General features: G+C 41.8%; 1 protein-coding gene across 2 annotated transcripts, besides 1 other annotated feature; it reads left to right on the top strand.

Annotated features, from left to right (window-relative positions):
* Positions 1–1,927: 1,927 nt before the first annotated feature.
* Positions 1,928–26,266, top strand: FCRL4 (Fc receptor like 4). 2 transcript variants are annotated; one of them, XM_011510034.2, is made up of 12 exons: positions 1,928–2,099; positions 3,665–3,685; positions 10,558–10,809; positions 11,894–12,148; positions 12,453–12,737; positions 13,558–13,845; positions 18,369–18,482; positions 19,665–19,692; positions 21,161–21,243; positions 21,471–21,539; positions 24,283–24,314; positions 24,403–26,266. In XM_011510034.2, exons 1-12 carry the CDS (start codon positions 2,069–2,071, stop codon positions 24,487–24,489), a joined length of 1,545 nt encoding a protein of 514 aa, XP_011508336.1. In that variant the 5' UTR covers positions 1,928–2,068; the 3' UTR covers positions 24,490–26,266. The 2 variants fall into 2 exon arrangements, with proteins under 2 accessions (XP_011508336.1, NP_112572.1); NM_031282.3 differs by having other exon boundaries at positions 10,555–10,809.
* Positions 11,708–12,907: an enhancer, noted in NCBI's record as "CDK7 strongly-dependent group 2 enhancer chr1:157556896-157558095 (GRCh37/hg19 assembly coordinates)". NCBI's record gives its function as "activates an origin of replication core promoter dependent on BRD2, BRD4, P300/CBP, MED14 and CDK7 cofactors, with strong dependence on CDK7, by STARR-seq in HCT116 cells {active_cell/tissue: HCT116}" and the evidence as "EXISTENCE:reporter gene assay evidence [ECO:0000049][PMID:35650434]".
* Positions 26,267–26,584: the final 318 nt, after the last annotated feature.

The raw sequence follows: 26,584 nt of genomic DNA, 5'->3' as shown, positions 1-26,584 counted from the left end.
AGCTGAGAGTTCTATGTCATTAATGTATTCATACAAACATCAATAACAACATCCACTTCAGCTGGACATTATTTTTATCTCCTTTTTACCAGTGTGAAAGAGGCTAAGTACTTGACCAGAGTCACCCAACTAGCAAGAGGTGAAGTCAAGATTTCATCCAGATGTGTGGGATTCTGCAGATCAGGTTCTTGACTGCCATTTTATACCCTTGCTCCTCCTGGGACAAATGAAGGCAGCTGAAAGATGACAGCACGGTCACACGGCAAGGAGACAAAGGACCCATGTGCCGCCTTGACAGCTCTATGTCTTTATGGTTCCTTGTGTCTATGTCTACTCTGGCCCTTACCACATTGACTTTTTTAAAGTCTTTAAGAGAGATGCACTTTATTCACCTTTTTATTCTTCTAAGGCCATGGACATTGTCTAAAATATAGTTGATGTTCAATACAAACCCTAGTTAGAAAATAAATTATTACAGATATATAGAAAAACATTATATTAGAAAAATACAGACCACTCTTAATCCATCCTATGTCTATTATCTATTCACAGATATCTTGATGTGATGGTGATGGTCACGATAACTGCCTTCCATCTTAGTGCATGCTCATCTCTCAGTCCTAGAATGATATTCTTTCAGCTTGGATGTTACTTCCTCAGGGAAGCCTCTTATGCATCCCCAGAACTGGGTCAGATTTCCCTCTTAGTGGACTCTCAGAAATTACATACAATTCACTTCTATGTAATTTCCTGTTGACTTGCTGTCTTCTCCACCAGAATGAAAGCTTTCCAAGTCTTGATTAACACTGTACTTCCAGCACCTGGCACCATACCTGAAGCACCATGGTGTTTCTTTTTTTTTGCCATTAACATTTTATATATATATATATATATATATATATATATATATATATATATACACATACATATACACAAGATAATAGCATAAAAAAGTTTTAAAGAGTTATACATACCAAAATATTATACGTACCAAAAAACGTCACTACGGATTTTTCCATTTTTTTCTTAATTTTTTTTTTAAGTTCTGGGATACATGAGCAGAGTGTGCAGGTTTGTTATGGGTAGGGAGAGCATTAGGTGTTTCTCAAAACACCAAACAGCATGTTGCCCAGTGTGAAAGAATCCAAATGGCAAAAATCAAAATTTAATAGAATTATTTAAATACCCACTCTGACTTCCTGACGTGAATCGCTTCTCAAGGCTAAAGCCATCATATTTTCAGAACTCTCTAGCCTCTTGTCTTTCAAGGAAATCACAACTTCTTCTCTCTGCCACCAGATACCAGGCATATGTATTTCAATCAATATATATTTGCCAAGACATTCCTGTAGCAAATTTTGGATTCTAGGACATTAAGTAAAAATGTTATGGCCTATTATCTAGGAAGAGCATGATGGGGCTATAATTTACTCCTCAGCTTGCCTTCTACTCAGATCAAAAGTTGTGGTTTCCCCCTGGACTGATGAGTCAGGATATTTTCATATATATCAGACAAGGTGAGAGTTGTCTTGTGATTGAGATGTTTCATCAGGTCTACAGACGGCCTGCTGGAGGTGTTCCAGTAGAGGTATCAGCGGTCAGAGGAGGCCTTTTCTGTGTTGAATGAGAAATTCTTCATCTCTGGGGATATTCAGGGACATCCTTAGATTATGTGGATTTCAATAGGCCTGCAATCTCACCTCATCTCTAGTAGCAGAGAGAATAGGTTGTGATTTCCTTGAAAGACAGAGCCTAGAGAGTTCTGAAACTAGAGTAGCTTTAGCCTTGAGAAGTGATTCACCCCAGGATGTCACAGCAGTACTTAATTCTATTAAATTTTGATTTTTGTGGTCTGGATTCTCTCACACTGGTCCACATTGCTGTTTGGTGTTTTCAGAAAGATTCCTCTACTTCCCCCTTTCACTTCATTATCTCAATCAGCTTTATGCAGAGAAGAAGCTTACTGAGCTCACTGCTGGTGCTGGTGTAGGCAAGTGCTGCTTTGGCAATCTGGGCTGACCTGGCTTGTCTCCTCAGAACTCCTTCTCCAATCCTGGAGCAGGCTTCCATGCTGCTGTGGGCGTCCTTGCTGGCCTTTGGTAAGTGATGGGGAGGAGACCTTTGCTTGCTGCAAAGCTGAGCCTCACCATGAGCAAAAGCCCTCTTTTCTGCTGCTGCAATCATGGATTTTTACTCCCATTTTAGAACAGCAGAAAATGAACAAAAAGGAAAGATAATGATTTACTGGTAGAAGGGGAAAATGATAATAATTGATTTCCAAAGATGTATTTCTCATCTATTTTTGCTATGAATTGCCTATGGAAAATCATTTTACCCCCAAATGGACTTATTTTGTTTATGCAAAAAGAAACCTATGGCTAGGTTCAGTCCCTACGTCACAGAGCATGAGGACCCAGAGGAAAAGATGGACTGAGTTATTTGTGAAGGATAAAGTCCTGATTGTGAACTCAGGTAGAAAGGATCACCTGCTGAGAATAGTTATTTCCTTCTCTGTATTCTAAGTTCAAACCTGTTCTGATGTTTGCAAAGAGCATGAGAAGAGAAGAGATAAGATGATTTCCCTTTGATTTTTTTCTTCCTGCTTTTGTACCACTTGTCAGTGTTTGTCCAAATGAGGCACGGATTTCCTAGTTGCTCAAACTAGGGAATTAAAGAACAGTCAGTCTTTTGTTCATTAAATATTTATTAAGCGTATTTGTCTAGTTCCCACCTGATCCCCAGACCCCAACTAAGGGAAGACCTATTAGTGTGATTGGCACATGATAGGAACTAAGGAGTGAGTGGATGGGTATACTTGGCATGCCACACTGCTGGGCACCACAGAGGATGCAGAGACCTGAAGGACACAGATTCTGCCCTCAAGAGGTGACATTCTCAATAGAACCTCAACGTACACATGCAAGAACATCTGACTCGACAATATGAGAAAAATATTACACAAATAGTTACAGGATAATGTGTGAGGATGTCAGTTAATTTGTGCTAAGCCCTGGCTACATCCCACTTTTCTAAGGGCACCCCATGTATAAATGTATCCAATTCTCTAACATTTGATCAGGTGGAACTTTTATAACTCCCATTTACAAATGAGGAAATGAAGGCACAAAGATGTTGGTCTTGTCCCTGAGGTTTATGCAGCTAGTACAGTGGCAGAGTCAGGATTCGAACCCATAATCTAACTTTGGAAACTAGGCTTTTAACTACTACCCTCTACTGTCTGTCTCATTTTGAGTTCCAAATTAGCTATGATAATAAGTGTTCTGAGTCAAGAGAAGAGGAATCAGCAGCAGCCCCATACTAAAAAATTAATGACAGCAGCCATTAATTGAAACCTTACTGATCTAACTCATTACAGTATTACTATGAGGTCGCTTTCATGAGCCTCATTTTTCAAATGAGAAAACTGAGACTTGAAAGTTCATGTGGTTTGCCCTGGGTCATACAGCTAAAATTCAAACCAGACTGTCTGAGTCCACAGCCTGAGCGTCTGGCCACTGTGTTTCCCCGCTTCCCTGGGATGGATGGAATGGAACGTGTTTCTCTTCCTCTTGGTTGGAAGTAGCATATGAGTGTATGGGCTCTCAGGGTGAATAGTTCGGGACTCTTCGCCTACGCTGATGGCTGGCTCTTTACTCTCTTTCAGCTCCAGTCTGTGGACAATCTGGTAAGTCCTTATTTTCTTTGCTCCTTTATGTCTCTAGATACCCTAATAACTATATTTTATCTCAAATACTTACAAGAGTCCCTGTTGTCCATTTCATCCTTTTCCTGAGTGCTGCAGGGATGTAGAGACATCAGCTCGTGTGGTGACTCTGACCCTAAGAACCAGGCTATTTGGGGGTGACTCTCTTAAACCAAAACTGCCATTGTGCTGGCTAAACATGGCAGGGCCTGGGATATGTGTCACAGCGTCCACAGGAAGAGGAGCTGTCACCCCGCCTGATGTGGGATTCTAGCCAAGCCTGATGGAATGCATAGCATCCCAAGAGGAAAAGGGTAGAAATAAGCCAATACTTCAGAGGGGGAGGCTGGGGCTCCAGCAGCTTTTCCACTAACCATGTGTAACAAATTTATCCCCAACTTCTGCATCCCATGGAGACACACTTCTCTGTTAATAGCTCAAATTATGATGACTCTGAGTCTCCATCTATCCTACTGGTCAGCAAAAAGTCCCATCCTCTATAGGCAGCTGCCTCACAGGTGTTTTGGCCATTCCTATAGAGCACCCTAGGAGCTGCTGGAGCCAGCAAGGGCCTTGGCCCCCTTGAGGTGCACTGTCTCTTGCAGCTCCTAACTCTGCTGTTCTTCCCCTCCTCGGTGCCTTGGACACAGACTATTTCCCACACACCCTTCCTGAGACAAGATTATAACTTGGCAGACTTTGCTAATGGTTCTAGAATGGGGAAATGAAATACAAAAAGTGCCTTGAATTAACTGCAGCTAGGGATGTGGTTAACCTCAGAGCCCATCAACTCAGTCTCAAACACACGAAGGCCATGAAAAGTTATGTCCCTTCCTGGCCATAGGGCCACCTGCACATAGCAGGGGCAGCTTCCTCAGAGCAAAGAAGAGTCTAGTTGCATACATCAAAGGAAATCAACTCTCCTTCCCTCCAGTAGAAGACCTATTGCCTAAGTCCCAATGGCCCTGCATCCAGGTGCTTCCCAGGAATATAGCTGGTAGGGTTTTCTATTCTCTTCAGCAGAAACACAGCCCCATTCCCACTGATGACATAGAGTATTCTGTCCAAACCTTTAAAGACAGAATTTTCTTTTTAAAAAGTGTCTGCAGAGGCTGGGCACAGTGGCTCATGCCTGTAATCCCAGCACTTCGGGAGGCTGAGGTGGGTGGATCACTTGACGTCAGGAGCTCAAGACCAGCCTGGACAACATGGTGAAACCTCATCTCTACTGAAAATACAAAAAATTAGCCGGTTGTGGTGGCACATGCCTGTAATCCCAGTTACTCAGGAGGCTGGGGCAGGAGAATCACTTGAACCCAGGAGGTGGAGGTTGCAATGAGCTGAGATCAGGCCACTGCAGTCCAGCCTGGGCAAGAGTAAGACTCTATCTGAAAAATAAAATAAAATAAATTCTGCAGAGACACAGAGATGTTTCACCTTACCAAACAGAACATTTAGCTTCTTCATGTAAAACATGCAGTTGGGTTATTTTACAATTTTCTTTTTCCCCTCAAACAGAGGAAGGGCATTTTCTTCACATTTAGATGTAACTAAAAGATCTATTTGGGAAGTTCTTCTGGGCAAAGGCAAGAATGTTTAAAGTTTTAAGCTTTAAAAAAGTAATTGCCTGAAAATCTTTAAATGTAGACAGTCCTCATCTGAGTAAAAAAGGTTCCAAGGAGAAAATAATTTATTCTATTAAAAATTTCATAGTAAATAGCAATCCCCAAAATTGAGATTTTATTTTTGAAAATTAATACAAATGAAAACAATTTGTTTTATTTTCTACTTCACAGAAGTTACATTACCACAGGCAATTTGTAGGGCAAAGCATGAATCTAATATTGACTTTTCAAAATGTGGTAGCTGCCACAGCTCCAGGCATCATGACTTTGTTCAAGGCAGAAAATGGGGAGAAGTAGGGAGACAGGTGGAGAAGGGAAGTGAAGCTGTCAAAGAGCACCCAGTGTGCATCTCTTCTTTCAAATAAAGGAAGAAGATTTTCCCAGAATCCCTATTCCCTAGTCCATCCCTAGCATTATTTCTCTGACATCCCTTTATTCAGACCTGGATCATGTAGGTGGGAAAGTTAATACTTCATTTTTTCAAACACATTAGTGGGCAGAAGGTTAGAGAGAAGAGCATTGGGACTGACTTTTGAGAGCCAAACAAGTGTTTTCCCTATTATAGATTTCTCCTTCATAATCGTTAATAGGTCTTGCTCTGCCATACTCTTTAGTGATTTTATGACTCATCAGAGCAGTGGTTCCACATAACTTTTACCGAGTTTATAAATTACTGCATCTTCAACAGAATCTAAAATAGCAATCAATTTTCATTTGTACACCCATTGAAAGATTAGCCTACCAAAGCACTTATCTTGGAGAAGGCTAGATAGTAGTATTATATTGGTAAGGACGTTTGAGTGAATGTTTCTAATAGTGAATAATTTGTGTTGTAGTTACTTTTGTTGTTAGCCGGCACAAAGTCAGAACTACAAAACTCAGAAAATAAACATTCAGATTAAAAAGAGCCTCGGAAACAGTTTCTTCTTAGAAGATATATAATTAAAAACAAAATCTCCTCCCAGCTCAGAAATCTTCTCTACAACGGTAGTAGAGAAAGTAGGTATTATTGAACAACAATAAGCCAGAATATGATGAGCATCACAGACAACCCACTAAGAAGCTGCAAAGTCAGAAAGGAATTCCACCCCCTCATACAGCCAATTAGATACAGCCCATGCATACATGTTTTCAAGATAAACAATAACTAGGCCTCAAGTAAGAGGGCCTGACAGCAACTTTTCTTCTACTAGTTCATCTTAACTTTATCCTGGTAACTGGCGAGACAACCTGTCTTAAGTAACTGAAGGGAAACAAACTTCTGTCTTTACAACAGCAGGTAGTTTAGCACATTGGAGAAAGCTGAGCCCACCAAAGTTAGGTCCTTACTCTCCCACAGGAACTGAGAGAGACGGAGGAACTATCTCTCTAGATGTTTGTATTCAAAAAGGTGGTTCCCAGGACTTCCCTGGGTTGTGAGCCAGGCAATAGTCTTATTTTTTTATTATTATTATACTATAAGTTCTAAGATACATGTGCACAACATGCAGGTTTGTTACCTATGCATACATGTGCCATGTTGGTTTGCTGCACCCATCAACTTGTCATTTACATTAGGTATTTCTCCTAATGCTATCTGTCCCCCAGCCCTCCAACCCCTGACAGGTCCCAGTGTGTGATGCTCCCTGCCCTGTGTCCATGTGTTCTCATTGTTCAATTCCCACCTACAAGTGAGAACATGCGGTGTTTGGTTTTCTGTCCTTGTGATAGGTTGCCGAGAATGATGGTTTCCAGCTTCATCCATGTCCCTACAAAGGACATGAACTCATCATTTTTTATGGCTGCATAGTATTCCATGGTGTATATGTGCCACATTTTCTTAATCCAGTCTATCATTGATGGACATTTTGGTTGGTTCTAAATCTTTGCTATCGTGAACAGTGCCACAATAAACATATGTGTACATGTGTCTTTATAGTAGCATGATTTATAATCCTTTGGGTATATACCCAGTAATGGGATGGCTTGGTCAAATGGTATTTCTAGTTCTAGATCCTTGAGGAATTGTCATACTGTCTTCCACAATGGTTGAACTAATTTACACTCCCACCAACAGTGTAAAAGCCTTTCCATTTCTTCACATCCTCACCAGCATCTGTTGTTTCCTGACTTTTTAATGATCGCCATTCTAACTGGCATGAGATGGTATCTCATTGTGGTTTTGATTTGCATTTCTCTGATGGCCAGTGATGATGAGCATTTTTTCATGTGTCTGTTGGCTACATAAATGTCTTCTTTTGAGACGTGTCTGTTCATATCCTTTGCCCACTTTTTGATGGGTTTTTTTTTCTTGTAAATTTAAGTTCTTTGTAGATTCTGGATATTAGCCTTTGTCAGATGGGTAGATTGCAAAATTTTTCTCCCATTCTGTAGGTTGCCTGTTTGCTCTGATGATAATTTCTTTTGCTGTGCAGAAGCTCTTTAGTTTAATTAGATCCCATTTGTCTATTTTGGCTTTTGTTGACATTGCTTTTGGTGTTTTAGTCATGAAGTCTTTGCCCATGCCTATGTCCTGAATGGTATTGCCTAGGTTTTCTTCTAGAGTTTTTATGGTTTTTAGGTCTTCCATTTAAGTCTTTAATCCATCTTGAGTTAATTTTTGTATAAGGTGTAAGGAAGGGATCCAGTTTCAGCTTTCTACATATGGCTAGCCAGTTTTCCCAGCACCATTTATTAAATAGGGAATCGTTTCCCCATTTCATGTTTTTGTCAGGTTTGCTGAAGATCAGATGGTTGTAGATGTGTGGTGTTAGGTCTGAGACCTCTGTTCCATTCCATTGGTCTATATATCTATTTTGGTACCAGTACCATGCTGTTTTGGTTATTTAACCAGTGTAAACATTTACATGCATTTGAAAAGGACAGAGAAAGAAATTCTGAAAGAGGAAGAGAAGTCACTTACTTTTGGCAGGGAGAATTAAGCCTCTTATTTTTAATTTGCATTATCCTTGAATTCTTCAGTTTCTATCCACAAATGCTTCAAAGATTTTAGGGCCTACTTTCATGTAGGGTTAGTATTTTACTGTCACAAGAGAGTGCCTTTGAGGTCTGGGAAGTTAGGAGCACCTACCTCCCCACACTCTTATTGTCTGCAACTATCTGGATATATTTCTTATGACAAACAGAGCCTGCTTACCTCTCCCATATATATTTATTGTCAGTAAAAATATAACTTAAATCCCTTTCCATAACTGTCTAATTGACCTCCCAATTTCTATATTCACTCCATCTACAACCCCTGTCCCACCACATGCTCATGCTACATGTATGGGAGGGAAAAAATTTCCCTCTATCTATGTTAGGTTTAAAGAAAACCAAAATATTTCACCCCAAAATATGGCCACCTGGTATAACTAGTATTTTGAATTAAAGGCCTTTAAAGATCAACAGAAGAAACTTTTCCCTATCCACCTAAAGACCAAACCAACCCACCAGTAAGAACAGTTGTTCTTCCCTTCTCTCTACTTTAGGAAAGAAGACTGACGGGTGTAACCACACCTGAACAGACCCTATCACAACAAAATATCTATCCTTCAGGCGCATTCATCTTCCAAATAGAACCATTTATCCATTAATTCACCATAGTCATTATTTATTGCCCTTCAAAAGAGTTACCTACATTCCCCCTCTCCCCACTCCCCTCTAAAAATGGCTGTGTAAGTATCTGGGCCTTATTGGTATATTTGGGGAACCACTCTGTAATTCTTCCTTGTACATGTTAATAAATTTGTAGGCCATTTCTCCTATGAATCTGCTTTTCATCAGTTGACTTTTCAGCAAACCTTAAGAGGGCAAGGAAAAAGGTTCTCTTGATTCCTACAGGTTAATTTTCTGGGGCCCATAAATTAACCTGATAAAAGATAGATTAGACGGGGCATGGTGGCTCACGCCTGCAATTCCAGCACTTTGGGAGGCTGAAGCAGGTGGATCACGAGGTCAGGAGATAGAGACCATCCTGGCTAAGAAGATGAAACCCTGTCTCTACTAAAAATACAAAAAATTAGCTGGGTGTGGTGGCACTTGCCTGTAGTCCCAGCTGTTCAGGAGGCTGAGGCAGGAGAATCGCTTGAATCTGGGAGGCAGAGGTTGCAGTGAGCCGAGATCATGCCACTGTACTCCAGCCTGGGTGACAGAGTGAGACTCTGTCTAAAAAAAAAAAAAAAAAAGACAGACTAACAAGTGAAAAAAGGTTTTAATTATGTACATACACAGGGGAATTTACAAAGAAAAAAAATGGCTCAAGGAGGCAGCCAGATGATTGAGATTTACACAGGTTGAATATCCCTCATCCAAATATCTGAAATCCAAAATCTGAAAGTTTTTAAGCACTGACATGATGATCAAAAGAAATGCTCATTGGAGCATTTCATATTTCAGATTTTTGGTTTATGCGTATGTTCCAAACTCTGAAAAAAAACTCAAACTCTAAAACCCTTCTGTTCCAAAGTGTTTTGAATAAAGTGTACTCAACCTGTATACCATCTTGGATTAAACAAAGGGAAAGGAGTTTTGGGCTTCTGGGTTGGGGAGGCAAGCTCTGGTGGGTGGACTAGGAAAAACATGGTAAACAAGGGTTTTTATGCATATTTAAGTCAATGCCTTCTCTATTGATGAAAGTTGTCAAGAGTCTTCCTCTTCCTGGTATGGGAGAAGGAGACATATTTACAAAAGGAAATTTCCTTTATAAGGGAAAACTTCCTTTTTTACTTATAAAGGAAAACTTGTGCCTTGCTTTTAGACTTTTCCTATTTCTGGTGATTCTCAATAGCCTTTAGCTCAAAATAATCCATATGCCAAAGAGACAAATCTGGAGATGGCATCTTCTGGTACCCTTCACATACAAGAACTCATCTTAGAGAGGTCTCTGTAACAACAAGATCCCAGGTGAGAGTCTAGGAGAAATGCAATTTCCAACTATCTACCTGAGGACCTGGTTCACTGAAACAAGTAAGAGGGTTTGTGAGCCTCCCATCATCTATCACTGCTGAGTGGATCCTGCCAGGGCTGCCCCCCCTCTGAAAGGCCAGTCTGCTGCTATAGACCACTGAGCAGCCACTGCACCCTGCAGGAGGTGAGCACAGCTCACCTGCAACCTGGGTAAACAGAAGTCATCCGGGGGCATCTTAGGGATCTCCCAAGCCATGTCCTCCACTGTAACCCACACAAGCCACTGCAGCTGGGACTGCAGGCACCTCCACCTCAGACCTATTACTCTTTCCTCCTCAGCAGCTGCACACAAACCTGTGATTTCCGTCCATCCTCCATGGACCACATTCTTCAAAGGAGAGAGAGTGACTCTGACTTGCAATGGATTTCAGTTCTATGCAACAGAGAAAACAACATGGTATCATCGGCACTACTGGGGAGAAAAGTTGACCCTGACCCCAGGAAACACCCTCGAGGTTCGGGAATCTGGACTGTACAGATGCCAGGCCCGGGGCTCCCCACGAAGTAACCCTGTGCGCTTGCTCTTTTCTTCAGGTGAGAAAGAAGGTGAATTAGTTGAAACTTTATAAATGGTATCAGTTTATCTTAGCTCCCTGGAGATTCCACGAACTGGGGTCTTTCATTCCTCTCTAACCCTCGATCCCAGCTCCTTTAGTTTCATATTTTCCCTCCAATGTCTACAAATGTTTTTCAAACTACTACTGAAACTTGAGTTTAAATGGTTAATATTAATCGACATCCCCACACACTTACACAGTCAAGAAAATGAGTTAGTTTTAGGGAGTACAAAAATGAAGCTGTCTCAGATCCTGCCCTGCAGGGCTTTATAGCCTCATAAGGGAGAAATTACACACATGTAAATGTGCTGAGGACAAAAGTGCCATCGAAGGAGCTCAGAGGTGGGAAATCTCCAACCTGATGCTTTTTATCCCCACCCGTTGTTATGCGTCCCTTCCTCATTCCTAGTTTTCCCTCTGATTGGCATCAAGCTCCCACAGCTCCTCCTGTCCAGTTTTACCTGATGGATAATGATTTTGGTCACTTCCAAGGGCACGGACTACAGGAGTAGGCATTCAACACAGTCATCTAAGAAAGAAGAGATATAGCTAACCTCAAATTAGAATTATTAGAATATGAACAGCATGGAATTCCCATAAAGGACCACATCCACTGTCCCTTCAACCTAGACTGTGTCTCTGACAAGAATCCTGCTACAAATCACACTCCAATGTCCAGGAAGAGATCCTCATGTAGTTCTCTAAGTGCCACTTCTTTCATAGCTCCTGCTCTGAGACTCGGTGAGCAGGTTGGTGTTAAGTTCTGCTGTACTCTATCATGTCAGAGATTTTGATCACACCTTCTCTCAGCTTTTATTCTCCGTATTAGACTCCTTATCTTTGGAATCTGACTTTGAATGATAAAATAGTTGAGTCTGGGATTTATTTAGGAATTGTACCTGAAGCATGTTACACTGATTTAGGAGGAGTTTCGTGAGCTTGGATCAGGAAACTACATCCTGTGGAAGAAAGAAGAAAACAATAAAGCCTTTGTAATTCAAGAGAAGAAGGAGATAGCAGGAATGCTTTGAATGACGATCTCCTCTCTGTGTCTTTTCCAGACTCCTTAATCCTGCAGGCACCATATTCTGTGTTTGAAGGTGACACATTGGTTCTGAGATGCCACAGAAGAAGGAAAGAGAAATTGACTGCTGTGAAATATACTTGGAATGGAAACATTCTTTCCATTTCTAATAAAAGCTGGGATCTTCTTATCCCACAAGCAAGTTCAAATAACAATGGCAATTATCGATGCATTGGATATGGAGACGAGAATGATGTATTTAGATCAAATTTCAAAATAATTAAAATTCAAGGTGAATCTTTCAGTTCATATAGATTTGCTTAGTAATGACAGGGATAGGAAACTGAGCATGTAAGGAAAGAATTTACGGGTTACTATTGAAACTCTGGATAGATGAGAGGCACAAATCCTCTAAGAGGCAGAGAAAGTGGGGTGATTGGACCTGAATAATCCTGTAGAAGAAAACTGTGATAGAGGGCTTGATAAGTTTGTCTTGCTGTGTGTCTGAAGTTTCCTGGGACTGAGCATCCAAACCTGTCTCTCACAGAGTCCTAAATACTCTCGTGCTCAGAACTTGACTTACCTCTTCTCTCTAGAACTATTTCCACATCCAGAGCTGAAAGCTACAGACTCTCAGCCTACAGAGGGGAATTCTGTAAACCTGAGCTGTGAAACACAGCTTCCTCCAGAGCGGTCAGACACCCCACTTCACTTCAACTTCTTCAGAGATGGCGAGGTCATCCTGTCAGACTGGAGCACGTACCCGGAACTCCAGCTCCCAACCGTCTGGAGAGAAAACTCAGGATCCTATTGGTGTGGTGCTGAAACAGTGAGGGGTAACATCCACAAGCACAGTCCCTCGCTACAGATCCATGTGCAGCGTGAGTGTTGGAGAGCCAGGCATCTTCCCTGCCTCTCTCTGCCCCTTGGGCTCTGTAGGCATGGGGACTATGTAGCAGAGATGGGTTTTATCATCCTGACAGAGGCACCAGGCTTAGGCCAAGAAGTGCAGTACTATAATAAAAGAAATACATGACTTCTTTTCTACCTCCATTTTCCTAAAAACTCAGTCTTCCTTTGAAATTCTATCACTTCAGAATCACAGCTGACTCATGGAGTTAGGTTTGAGAGCTATGGAAAACAAAACAAAACAAGAAAATGAGGTGCCCTGCTAGGGATTTGGCAGATTCTAGAATGGCTAGATCTTAAGGATAACTATTTAGAAGACAAGCATCCACCTTTTCCTGGTCAGTAGCAATGAACAGTGTGAGTGCCTATGATGTGTACAGCAGAAAAGAAGGAGAGATAGATAGATAGATAGGCCCAATAAATATCACTTAGGTACAAAATTATGACTTTTGAAAACAGATGTGGTCCAGCCTAGTGCCATGATGGCTGCTATTGCTATTACCTGCCCCTCAAAACAACTCAGACCTCCAGCCAGGATGTCAGACAAAACCCAAATGCTTCTTCAGGGTTAGTCCTTTTTTCTTTCCTGGGGCCTCGTATATCAGGATGGAAAGCTTATCACATTTAGTGATATTCTCAGCGCTAAATCTGTGGTCTATTGGCCACAATGCTAGTGCCTGCTGAAGAGTATATCTTGAAGTCACATAAAAAGTAACCCTGCCCAACACCCCAGCTACCTAGCCCTGCCCTCCTTCACACCCGACCCCCACCTGTGGTCTCATTTTCACATAGGGATCCCTGTGTCTGGGGTGCTCCTGGAGACCCAGCCCTCAGGGGGCCAGGCTGTTGAAGGGGAGATGCTGGTCCTTGTCTGCTCCGTGGCTGAAGGCACAGGGGATACCACATTCTCCTGGCACCGAGAGGACATGCAGGAGAGTCTGGGGAGGAAAACTCAGCGTTCCCTGAGAGCAGAGCTGGAGCTCCCTGCCATCAGACAGAGCCATGCAGGGGGATACTACTGTACAGCAGACAACAGCTACGGCCCTGTCCAGAGCATGGTGCTGAATGTCACTGTGAGAGGTGAGTTTTAATCTCTATTGACCTTATTTATTCTCAGCAAACTTCCTCAAATTAAGGGTGGGGATAGCTAACATTACCCTGTGACTCTGCTGTTTCTGTTTCCATTTTGCCATGCTCCACTGTGATAAACAATTTCTTCCATTAGAATAGTAATAACTCACTCAGGTCAGAGTAAGGTCCTGTAGTGAGGTAATGGTGGCTGGGAGCCATTTTGCTTTTTGGAGGTGATTTTGTTTGTCTGTGTTTGGGTCCATTGTGTGTTTATCTCCAAGAGGAGCCTTACTTCATTAGCAGTGTTTCTGGGTGGGGCACAGCTCTGTCACCCTACCGTGTCATCCTACAGTATCAACTACACCTCTCCTTTCAGTAAATCATTCACACACACCACACACATCAGACCTGCAGCCTCAAGTCCACAGAACCAAAAGCACAAGGCATTCCTTTACTTCATTACTATAATAGAATCCTGAGGGATTCTCAGCAGCCAAATTGTATGTGGGTCAGGAAACTCACAAGAAGCAGGGAGAGCAGATACAGAGCCCACTTTTGTCCATTGAGGAGAGAAGCCTTACTTTGGGATATCACAGGTTTAGCTCATATACATCTCTTCCTCCATCGCTGAGAAGCCACACTGGGCCAAGCTATGTTCTCACTCAGCTACCTTGGCACTAAGGAAGTGGTCTTTACTGGGCTTCAATTCCTCCTCAATCTCAGGTTTAGTTGTATTCCTGTCTCTCTGAAAAAGGAAAGAAAGAAAGAAAGAAAGAAAGAAGGAAAGAAAGAAAGAAAGAAAGAAAGAAAGAAAGAAAGAAAGAAAGAAAGAGAGAGAGAAAGAAAGAGAGAAGGAAGGAAGGAAAGGAGGAAAGAGAAAGAAAGAAAGAGGGAAAGGAAGGAAAGGAAGGAAAGAAAGGAAAGAAAGGAAAGGAAAGAAAGGAAAGAGGAAAGAAAGGAAGAATCTAGCTTTTATTAAGTTACTGGAAAGCTAGATTTCCCTGCTTTTCTATACAATAAAACTCCTCAATTCACTCTCCTTACCTCCCTGATTTTTTCTTAAACCCATCACCACCAGGCTTGCCTCACTCCACCAAAATTACTAATGATCTCCATATTTCTAAGGCCAGTGGAAAACTGTTCCCATTTGATTTGACCTACCTCCAGCTTTTGATACAATTGATCCCTCCCTCCTTCTTGAAACATTTTCCTGCTCAATTTCTGGGACATAACCTGTTAGTATTCTATCTATTCAGCAGATACTTTTTTAAAGTTTTCTTTCCAGATCCTTATAATATTTCCAACTTCTAAATTTTGGGGACTGCTCCCCAAAAACAGCTGCACTGTTTATACAAAGTCAGCTCTGACGGTCAAAGCCATAAACCTGAACAGTTTAGTCAGAGGCTCCAGCAAGGGGTTGCTATGCGAATGGCCCAGATGCGGCTCAACTTTCCCTTCAACTCCCTTGAGGCAAGTCTTATGATCAAGCAGGGCCCACCAGGTTAAGAGACTGAGGTGTTTCCCCAGAACTAAGTACCACAGCAATCTGCATCTCAGTCTGGGAACATCACTGGGTGTAATTCCCAGCAGAGAAGGACTGAGACTGAGCTAATGTCATTTCAATGACTTTTTTTTTTTTTTAAGATGGGGTCTCTCTCTGTTGTCCAGAGTGGAGTTCAGTGGCGTGATCTTGGCTCACTGCAGCCTTGACCTTCTGGGTTCAAGCGATCCTCCCACCTCAGCCTCTCAAATAGCTGGGACTACAGGCATGTGCCACCATGGCCAGCTATTTTTTTTTTAATTTATTTTTCATAGAGAAAGGTTCTCACTACGTTGCCCAGTCTGGTCTTGAATTCCAGGGCTCAATGGCATTTCAAGAATCAGATTAGGGGAGAGGAAGAAGGGATTAGCAAAACTGCAAGCTGCCAAGGGCTCCCTCGAAAGACTCCTGAATGCCCTGAAATCCAGAGTAACACTGATGGTAGAGGGTGTTTCTTCTGCAGGAAGGCTCTTATTCTGAAAAGTTTACCTCAGGAAGTTCAAAGATTATAATCTCTGAGGAGATAACAGTGAATCTGTTGGTAAGTATAAATTATTCCTCTTCCTTTTGGGGGTTAAGATCATCAGAATGGATCAGCTTCTCCTGATCCAGGCAGTGAACTGGCCACTTCACATGTATCATTTCATTTTATTCTCATGACAGCCCTGGAAAGCAGGTGTCAACATCTGTTAAGGAAACAGATGATCTCAAAGATTAAACAAACGTCAAGGATCCAGTGATGTTTGCTGGAATAGGGATTCCCTCCTAAATATTTTTTAATCATGGACTTTATGCAAAATCCCCGTGCTTAGAAATAGGAGAATATATAGCAAAGAGAGAAACTCTGCAGTAGCCTCATGCACTGGGCTAAGGTGGGCTGTCTCAGGCAGCTTGAACTGCCATAACCAAACACCAGGGACTGGGGAGCTTAAAAAACAGAAATCTATTTCCTCATAGTTCTGGAGGCTGGAAGTCTGGGATTAGTGCACTAATATAATTTGGATTCTTGTGAGGGCTCTCTTTCTGGCTTACAGAAGGCTACCTGCTTGCTGTGTCCTTACATGGCAGAGAGAGAGAGCAGCACAACCTTTCTGGTGTTTCTTCTTAGAAGGGCACTAATCCTATCTTTGGGGCCCCACCCTCATGATTTCATCTAAATCTGATTACCTCTCAAAGGCCCTGTCTCCAAATACCATCACATTGGGGTTAGAGCTTCAGCGTATGAATCTGGGGGAGAAGGGCACAAATCAATCCATAGCATGGACTGAGGATGTCTGGGGTAGGGCTGTGTGGGAGCAGGCTTAACCTATGGAGGTGTCCTCTAAGCTAATCAGAGAGCAGCCTGAATTTCCTGAGAGTCTAGGGCATGGTGTCAGGACCACAAAATATGAACTAGTATTTCCCTAGACGTAACACTTAAGTGGCAGGCACTGTTCAAAGCACTTTACATGTATTAACTCATTTACAACAGTAAATAGGAAACTGAGGCAAAGGGAGATTAAATAATTTTCCCTGCCCACACAGTGAGTAAGTTGAGGAGCTGGGATTCTAATCCAACAACCTGGATTTAGAATCTGTGCCTTTCTAACTGAGACAAAATTTCAATTACTTTCCCCAAAGTAGCCATTTCTTTTAGGAAATAGGGTTACCAGGAAGGTAGAGTAACTTGCTTTCTGCCCTTTGAGTCTAGAATCCTAGGCCTGGGTGTGGCTGATTCTGATTTTGCACCGGCGGATGCCCCAGCAGGCAATGGGGAAAGATTCAATACAGGATGTAGTGGCCAAGCCTCTCTGTCCTTAGATTTCTGTCCTGCTCTCCACCGTACTCTTTCAGCTGTTGTGGCTGGGAAGCTGGGCTGGCTGTCCACTGAATACTGTTTATTAGTGGAACCACTCATAGGTCAAAGGGCAGGTTTGTTGATATTGTTGAGGAGGGAAGGATAATATCAGAAATGTCACCAGCCACTCCTAGCCAATGGCTCCTCTGTGCCCAAAATCATAGATGAAAATAAACGGAAATCATGATCAGTGTTGCTGTTGTTCTACTACCTGCATGTTCTCTGTCAATTCTGTGGTACCTGTGTCTGAGGTCTGAATTTGGTTTACCTGGGGACCAAGAATACATATGGGAAAGTACCACGCCCCACTCTCCACTCTCTGTCCCTCTGTCATGCTTTTTGCTCTTTAGCGCATCACTACAGGGCACGGTATAAATTTATTTATTTGTTTATGGCTTGTCTCCCCTCCCTGGGTTATAAACTCAAGAGCCGGGACTTTAACGTCTTGTTCACTCTTGGGTCTTCAAGGGTTAGGTCAATGCCCAGCACAGGGCAGCCTCAGTAAATATTTGTTGTATAAATAAGTAAATTGAATGAAACCTCCTTTTCCGTGGATGAAAGGATAGGAGAACGGACCCCATGGAAATATCAAAAGCCCCTAACAATTTATTGATTATGTGTACTTTTCCATCCGTTTTTTTCTCTCCTGCCCTTCAGAGCACACAGGCACAGGCTTCTATGAGGAAGGAGGCTGATGCCATTTCATCGTGGTGTCCCAATGCGGAGCAATCTCAGAGTTACTGTTGGTTCAACTGGTGCCATAATCAGTGGTGCAATTTTCATTCTCTCTCAGGCAGTTTGCTGTTCCTAAGTTAGGTGCTGCCAAGCCATGATCCCACAGTATCTCTCCAGGTGTCTGGGGGCAATTTGCAGGAAGCCAGCTTACCAGAATACAACATTAGGATTTCCCCTAAATTGTTAGTTTCTAAAATGATTCACTGAAGGTAGAGGGAGCTGCTGTTTCCTCTTGCACTCAGGCCCTGGCCCACCCAATGTGAGCTTTTCTGGCCAAAACCTGGCCCAAGATGTCTTTATGAGACCTAGTCCTTTAGATTTTTCTCTCTTCCAGGGCTCGTTACCCAACCAAGCTGAGGAAAAGGCAATCCCAAACCCTGAACCTCTCCACTGAGATTCACACAGGTCCTTTCCCCTTAGAGACCCCAGGCAACAGAGATGGCCTTGTCGCCGCGGGAGCCACTGGAGGGCTGCTCAGTGCTCTTCTCCTGGCTGTGGCCCTGCTGTTTCACTGCTGGCGTCGGAGGAAGTCAGGTTTGTGCTCTTTTCTTTGCCACAGTTCCTGCCCTGTTCCTTCCCCTGAACTCAGCATGCAGACAGCCTTAGTGGCCACCAGGCCACCACTCCCAAGTCTCCACTCCCAAGTCTCCACTCCCAGCGTTCACACACACTCACGTCCGTCCCTTCCTTAAGGGGCAGTTTTGCAAACAGAAGCCATGAATGAGAGCTGCTCATATCTAGTCTGATTGGCTAAGTCTCAGTGAAGGGGAGGAAGAGTGAAATTTTTAATGTAAAGTTCCAAAAACTTTATCTGAACAGTTTACTTAGGCAGTTTCTTTGGTTCATATAGACTGGCCAGTTAGATACTTCAGCCTATCCTAAATCCACCATAAATGGAGATTCAGAATGAACTAAAGGCTCTGCAGAAATGATTGAGAATAAGAGCTGGCTAATTTTATCCTTCTGTCCCCTCAGGGGCTTTTCTGGGTCTGGCTTTTCAGGGGCTTTTCTGAGCAGGCTTGAGCCTGCCATCTGGTGCTCCAGTGGCCCCTCTCTCCTCAGGTCAGCCTCCCCTGCCTCTTGGAGATGGTCTGTCCCAGGCACTGTTTGCTGCGTGCTTCCAAAGACTTCTTGCCTCAGCCCACCTCAGGCTGGCTTTAGATGCCAAGAAACCTGGTGTAGAAGACAGGAGCAGAACCTTTTTCAGCTCTAGAATAATTACCCACATCCTTCAACTCTGTCTCTTAATTCAATTCAACTTTCCAGATTCCTGACAGCACCTTCTGTGTGTCCTGCATTGAACTGGAGGTAGGGAGCTTTGGACCTCTGACCAATTCTCCTTAGTGGGGCTGAGTCAGAGCCCAGTGCTCCTCTGGGCATGGCCACAGATGTTCCTCGAAGTTCACCCACAGCTCACTACTCTCCAAGTGACACTTTTGTTATATGTAATGTTTCCTGAGGGATTTCAACACAGACTTGAGTCTTAATAAATTCTCAGACAATTACATACTTAACTCAGGAGTGTGCAGTCCTGGCCTCAAAAAGTTATATGCTTTGTACAATCTTTTTTTCACCTCATTTTCATGAAAACCCAGGACTGGGCAGGTGTTTGAATTGACTGTCTTGATTACCTCTCTTAGATAGCTCCTGTTACATGAAGTCATTGAGAAAGAGCTCCCTCTGCTGACAAAAATGCGTCTTTGCTTTATTTTGCAGGAGTTGGTTTCTTGGGAGACGAAACCAGGTGAGACCTCAGTTTCTGCCATTCCTTTTTAGTTTCCCGAGTACACAATATGCAAAACTGTGGGGTTATGAAATTAGGTCAAGTTATACCTCTTTGGCCCTGTGGCTAGATACTTCCATTTTCACACTCCATGAATTTGTCAAAAATGAAGCTTCCTAGAACTTTGCTTGTCAGCTAATAGTTTGCAATACATGCAAAATAATAGATTTCTTATTTGATCTTAACCTACTCATCTAAATGGATAATACCAAAGGTTATAAAGTACAGAATATTTCTTGTACTATAATTAAGTTAGACAATGTGTTACTATAATTATGCATACAATGACTAGAGTCTAGATTTTCTACAAATGTTCTAGGTTTTCCAGAGAACTCTATGTTTCTAATAATCTTCTTTTTGCACCATACACGCATATATACTCATTAAACGTTATGTGCTTAACTTCCATTTGGAAAATACTGTCATCTTCCTCCTTCTATGTCAGTGTCTCAGTCTTAGGTAAGGAATAAGAGTGTGGATTATGTCTAATTCCTTCTTGGATTGTACAGACATTACAATGTAAAGACATTTTATGTATGTATGTATGTATGTATGTATGTATGTATGTATGTATGTATGTATTGTCACCCAGGCTGGAGTGCAGTGGCACGATCTTAGCTCATGGCAACCTCCGCCTCCCAGGTTCAAGTGAGTCTTGTGCCTCAGCTTCCAAAGTAGCTGGGATTACAGGCATGAGCCACCACATCTAGCTAATTTTTGTATTTTTAGTAGAGACCAGGTTTCACAATGTTGGCTGGGCTGGTCTCAAACTCCTGGCTTCAAGTGATCTGCCCGCCTCGGCCTCCCAAAGTGCTGGGATTACAGGTGTGAGCCACTGCACCAGGCCAACAGTAAAGTAAAGACATTTAATCACTACTTCCTGATGATGAAGAAGCCATTATGTATATATTTGAGACAGGATCTGGCTCTGTCACCCAGGCTGGAGTGCAATGGCATCATCTCAGTTTCCTGCAGTCTTGACCTGCCAGGCTTAAGCAATCCTCCCACCTCAGCCTCCCAAGTATCTAGGACTACAGGTGCATGTCACCATGCCTGGCCAACTTTATTTTATTCTGTGTAGAGACAAGGTCTCACTATGTTGCCCAGGCTGGAAAGCCAGTATTTTTTAACCAAACAAGAGTAATCATTCTGACTATGAGACGATGATTGTTACGATGATGTCAGAGACTCCCTAACCTTGTTTCCAGGCAGCCTGTCCATACCACAGCTCCAGGGTTTTTTTAAAAAGAACAGTCTCACTCTATATAGACCTATTGAAACTCTGATTAAACCATTCAGGCTTTCCAGTTCCCTACTGGCTGCTGACTTTCTCCAAATCCTCTTTCTCCTCTGCCGCTCTCCCTGGGTATCTCACTCTCCCGCATGTTACAGTGTTCCAGGGATTATTATGTGTTTCTGTGTCTCACAGGCTCCCTCCCGCTCCAGGCCCAGGAGAGTCCTCCCATTCCATCTGCCCTGCCCAGGTGGAGCTTCAGTCGTTGTATGTTGATGGTGAGGATTCCCTTCTAGGAAGCTGTTCCTGGCCTCAGCCATGGAAAGATAATGCGCTTTCAGCCCTGGGAAATGCCCCTGGACTCCCTAAAGTGTCCCAAATCCAGATATTCCCAGATAATTGTTCCATTATGTGTCCAAGAAGAGTGGAGATGATGCTTAGGAAGAGGCATCTGTAGCACTTTAATACTAACAGGAACAGCCTTGAAAATGTCTTTTCTTTCCAGTACACCCCAAAAAGGGAGATTTGGTATACTCTGAGATCCAGACTACTCAGCTGGGAGAAGAAGAGGAAGGTACGTCTTTGGGAAGAGATTCTGGCTGCAAACTATATTCATTCATTCAACAAATATTTACTGAGCACCTCCTATGTGCTAGGTATTCTTGTAAGTATGGGAAGTCAATCAGTAAACAAGGCAGACAAAAATCCCTGCAGTGGAGAGCTTAGATTCTAAGGAGGGAAGATAGGCACTGAAATACACACAGTATACTTTTGCTGATGATCAGGATGAAAATTAAGCATCCTTCTGATAGATATTGTGATCATTATAGTGTATGTACTAAGGTCTCCCTTAGGTCTGAATGAATAAATGTTTGTAAAATGTCTACTATGTGGTAAGCATTGTGCTGAGAATATATATACATATATATATGTATACATACACATATATGTATATGCATGGCATTTTAATTAAGTGCTAGAAAATGTGATTTTTACAGTATTATATTCCTCTAATTACTGTCAGATTTTAAATTTTATATTGGAGCAAGGTAAGTTATTTGGAATGAGTTGGATCCTTTTGAGGCTTGCTTTTATTTAAGCTTTGTTAGGGTAAGTCTCGAGCAACCTTTAGAGTAGGGTTAATCTAGCCTGATAGTAAAGCAATGCATTTCTGGGGACTCTACATCAGATGGTCCATTAATTACAAAATCTGCATCAGCTTCTGGTATTATTCTGCCTGTTCTTTTCTGGTAGTTCTTACCCCGGCCTAAGATACTTTCATCTTACAAATATGCCTATCAGTATTCAGCCTAAGACCTGAGGAGAACTCTCTGCAGACTTCTGGAGCTTTCGATCTGTTTTCCTCCTGTCTCTCTGGTACTGTCCTACAAATTCTAGCTGCTTCAGTAAAACAGAACTGTTGGTCTCTGTCACTTCAAGTCAGCAAGGCCTCAAGCCAGAAGCCAGGCTCTTTCTAAACTCCCAAGTCCATGCACAGCTTAGTGGTAAACTGGTGCAATATCTGAAAACCACTGTTTTGTCCTTTTTTCTCATTGTTTAAAATGGGAAGATAAATCCAGTCCCTGTTAGTCCGTTTTGGCCACAATAAGCTGAATTGTTTCTTGAAGTTCTACTTCACTTCTTTAATCCTATTCAGACCCCATTTCAAGACCCACTAACAAATTGAGATCTTTTGTTAGAAAAATACCTCTCTAGGTAACTGCAACCTATGGTCCACTTTGGCTTTCTGAGGTGGGAGCTCTATATCCCAGTATCAGGGAAATCACTTCAAAATCACTTCAGAAGTTCAAGAGGAATTTCTGAGATCTCCTTCACCAGGCTGGGGGCTATAACCTGCTACTCTCACCTCAGAAAGCTAAAGCAGAGACACATTGGACATAAACTGATCCATCTTTCTAAAGACATCGCTTCAACCAATCTTCTTATTTTTTTCCTCCCCACACTTCCTTGCTTTGGTTGATTAACCTGGGTTCTTAGAGTCAAGGAAACAAGCAATTCTCTCTATTTCTTGTATAAATCCACCCATGGCACCTCACTTGGGAAGTTAAAATCTAGGAATTTTAGTTGTAACCTGATGCTGAAGGTGTTCTATGAAAATGAAGTATTACACATAAGACTCAGAGAAGGACTTTCTCAAGGTCACAAAGCCAGTAAAGGACAAAGCTAAGACCAAGTCTTCTGTCTTGCTATATTTTCTGCATGCACAGCCTATTACTATATTTGACCAACATATATCACCTGATCACTTGTTTTGTCTTTCACTTTGTTCCCTGAGCCACCTCCATTAATCAGGATCCCCTTTGAATGGCAGCATTAGAATGGCCACTACCTTTCTTGGGTTGATTGAGTACATCTTATCTTATAAAGCTGTCTTGATAATTTTGCTTTTCTTCATACTCTTTCCTTGACATATTTATCAAAACACCATTTAAGCCAAGCATTCTGTTGATGGACTAGTTACATTTCAGACACTTGAATTATTAATGATTTGTAGAATGGTTTCTTCACCTGTTCCTTAAGGTTTACATGAAGCCCCTGAAATCATATGCAAAGTTTTGTACATATGACCATTATTCTGGGGAGAGTACATAGCTTCCATCATATTATTAAAAATATCTGTAACCCCTAAAGGTTTGGGGTAAGAATATGGTAACAATACAGTAAGAAACAGAGAGAAACCTCAAGTGCCCCAGAGTGTATCTGTTTTTCAGGCTCTCTCTCTCCATAAAATTGCTCTGCTGCTCTGATAATTCTACCTTTTACTCTGAGACTCTTAATTTCTAATATGCATGGTTCACCAAATCACATCTGCTAAACTTACCTCTCACTCTGGCTCCAACTCTAGGAAATCATGGCAATAAAAATCAAGAACTAGAACTTGTTAATGTAGGAGAGAGTTTTTCTCACAGGGCATGCATATGGAGTACTCTAATGGGAACTTGCCAAACAATCGGGGGTGGTGAGATGACAGTATTGTAAGTTAAGAGAAGCAAGAACTAAAACTAAGAAAAAAATTATCTCTCAATATCTGGTAGAGGAAGGGTGTGAGGTTTCTTAGTGTGGTATTGATGGAGGACTTTACGGATCAATGGAGCTTGAAAAGAACTTGCAGAGGGCTGGGTTAAGAAATGGTAGAACAGAAAGTCATATGTATTGCAGGACATGTTAGGGGATGAGGTGGAGGGGATGAGGTGGACAGGGCCCAGTGGCTCTCAGACTCTAGGGCATCAGCTAACAGACTGAGTTCTAAGTGCATCATTATGCCCATAGTCCAGTGATTCTCTTTCTGTCCACAGCTAATACCTCCAGGACACTTCTAGAGGATAAGGTGAGTTTCATTTCCCCACAGTTTTATCTCCACCATTACCTGCAGCCTCACACTCCCTCTCGGTTTCCACTTCTTTCTTCCATTTCAGGATGTCTCAGTTGTCTACTCTGAGGTAAAGACACAACACCCAGATAACTCAGCTGGAAAGATCAGCTCTAAGGATGAAGAAAGTTAAGAGAATGAAAAGTTACGAGAACGTCCTACTCATGTGATTTCTCCCTTGTCCAAAGTCCCAGGCCCAGTGCAGTCCTTGCGGCCCCTGGAATGATCAACTCATTCCAGCTTTCTAATTCTTCTCATGCATATGCATTCACTCCCAGGAATACTCATTCGTCTACTCTGATGTTGGGATGGAATGGCCTCTGAAAGACTTCACTAAAATGACCAGGATCCACAGTTAAGAGAAGACCCTGTAGTATTTGCTGTGGGCCTGACCTAATGTATTCCCTAGGGTCTGCTTTAGAGAAGGGGGATAAAGAGAGAGAAGGACTGTTATGAAAAACAGAAGCACAAATTTTGGTGAATTGGGATTTGCAGAGATGAAAAAGACTGGGTGACCTGGATCTCTGCTTAATACATCTACAACCATTGTCTCACTGGAGACTCACTTGCATCAGTTTGTTTAACTGTGAGTGGCTGCACAGGCACTGTGCAAACAATGAAAAGCCCCTTCACTTCTGCCTGCACAGCTTACACTGTCAGGATTCAGTTGCAGATTAAAGAACCCATCTGGAATGGTTTACAGAGAGAGGAATTTAAAAGAGGACATCAGAAGAGCTGGAGATGCAAGCTCTAGGCTGCGCTTCCAAAAGCAAATGATAATTATGTTAATGTCATTAGTGACAAAGATTTGCAACATTAGAGAAAAGAGACACAAATATAAAATTAAAAACTTAAGTACCAACTCTCCAAAACTAAATTTGAACTTAAAATATTAGTATAAACTCATAATAAACTCTGCCTTTAAAAAAAGATAAATATTTCCTACGTCTGTTCACTGAAATAATTACCAACCCCTTAGCAATAAGCACTCCTTGCAGAGAGGTTTTATTCTCTAAATACCATTCCCTTCTCAAAGGAAATAAGGTTGCTTTTCTTGTAGGAACTGTGTCTTTGAGTTACTAATTAGTTTATATGAGAATAATTCTTGCAATAAATGAAGAAGGAATAAAAGAAATAGGAAGCCACAAATTTGTATGGATATTTCATGATACACCTACTGGTTAAATAATTGACAAAAACCAGCAGCCAAATATTAGAGGTCTCCTGATGGAAGTGTACAATACCACCTACAAATTATCCATGCCCCAAGTGTTAAAACTGAATCCATTCAAGTCTTTCTAACTGAATACTTGTTTTATAGAAAATGCATGGAGAAAAGGAATTTGTTTAAATAACATTATGGGATTGCAACCAGCAAAACATAAACTGAGAAAAAGTTCTATAGGGCAAATCACCTGGCTTCTATAACAAATAAATGGGAAAAAAATGAAATAAAAAGAAGAGAGGGAGGAAGAAAGGGAGAGAGAAGAAAAGAAAAATGAAGAAAAGTAATTAGAATATTTTCAACATAAAGAAAAGACGAATATTTAAGGTGACAGATATCCCAACTACGCTGATTTGATCTTTACAAATTATATGAGTGTATGAATTTGTCACATGTATCACCCCCAAAAAAAGAGAAAAAGAAAAATAGAAGACATATAAATTAAATGAGACGAGACATGTCGACCAAAAGGAATGTGTGGGTCTTGTTTGGATCCTGACTCAAATTAAGAAAAAATAAAACTACCTACGAAATACTAAGAAAAATTTGTATACTAATATTAAGAAATTGTTGTGTGTTTTGGATATAAGTGATAGTTTATTGTAGTGATGTTTTTATAAAAGCAAAAGGATATTCACTTTCAGCGCTTATACTGAAGTATTAGATTAAAGCTTATTAACGTAAATTCGGCGTACATGAAATTAGTAGATGAAATGATGTGATTTGGTTTGAAATAACCCGATGAGGTGAGGGTGGGTAGGAAGTGGGTAGGTATAGATGTAGCAGGATCAGTCATATGTGCACCATTTCTGGAGCTGAGTGAAGGGTACATTATGGGAAGAAGAGGAGGCTTATACTATTCTTTACTTTTGCAAGTTTTAATTTTCCATAATAAAGAGTTAAAATATCTACACCCAGAAGACCACCTCGTTATACCACTCCATTATTCTACTCTTGTCTGAGGTGCTGCTCACTTCCGTTACAGTGGTGGCTTCGTGTCTCC

The sequence above is a fragment of the Homo sapiens genome, chromosome 1 (assembly GCF_000001405.40).
Source record: "Homo sapiens chromosome 1, GRCh38.p14 Primary Assembly".
Lineage (NCBI taxonomy): Eukaryota > Metazoa > Chordata > Mammalia > Primates > Hominidae > Homo > Homo sapiens.
This window is presented reverse-complemented; position numbering and strand designations above follow the sequence as displayed.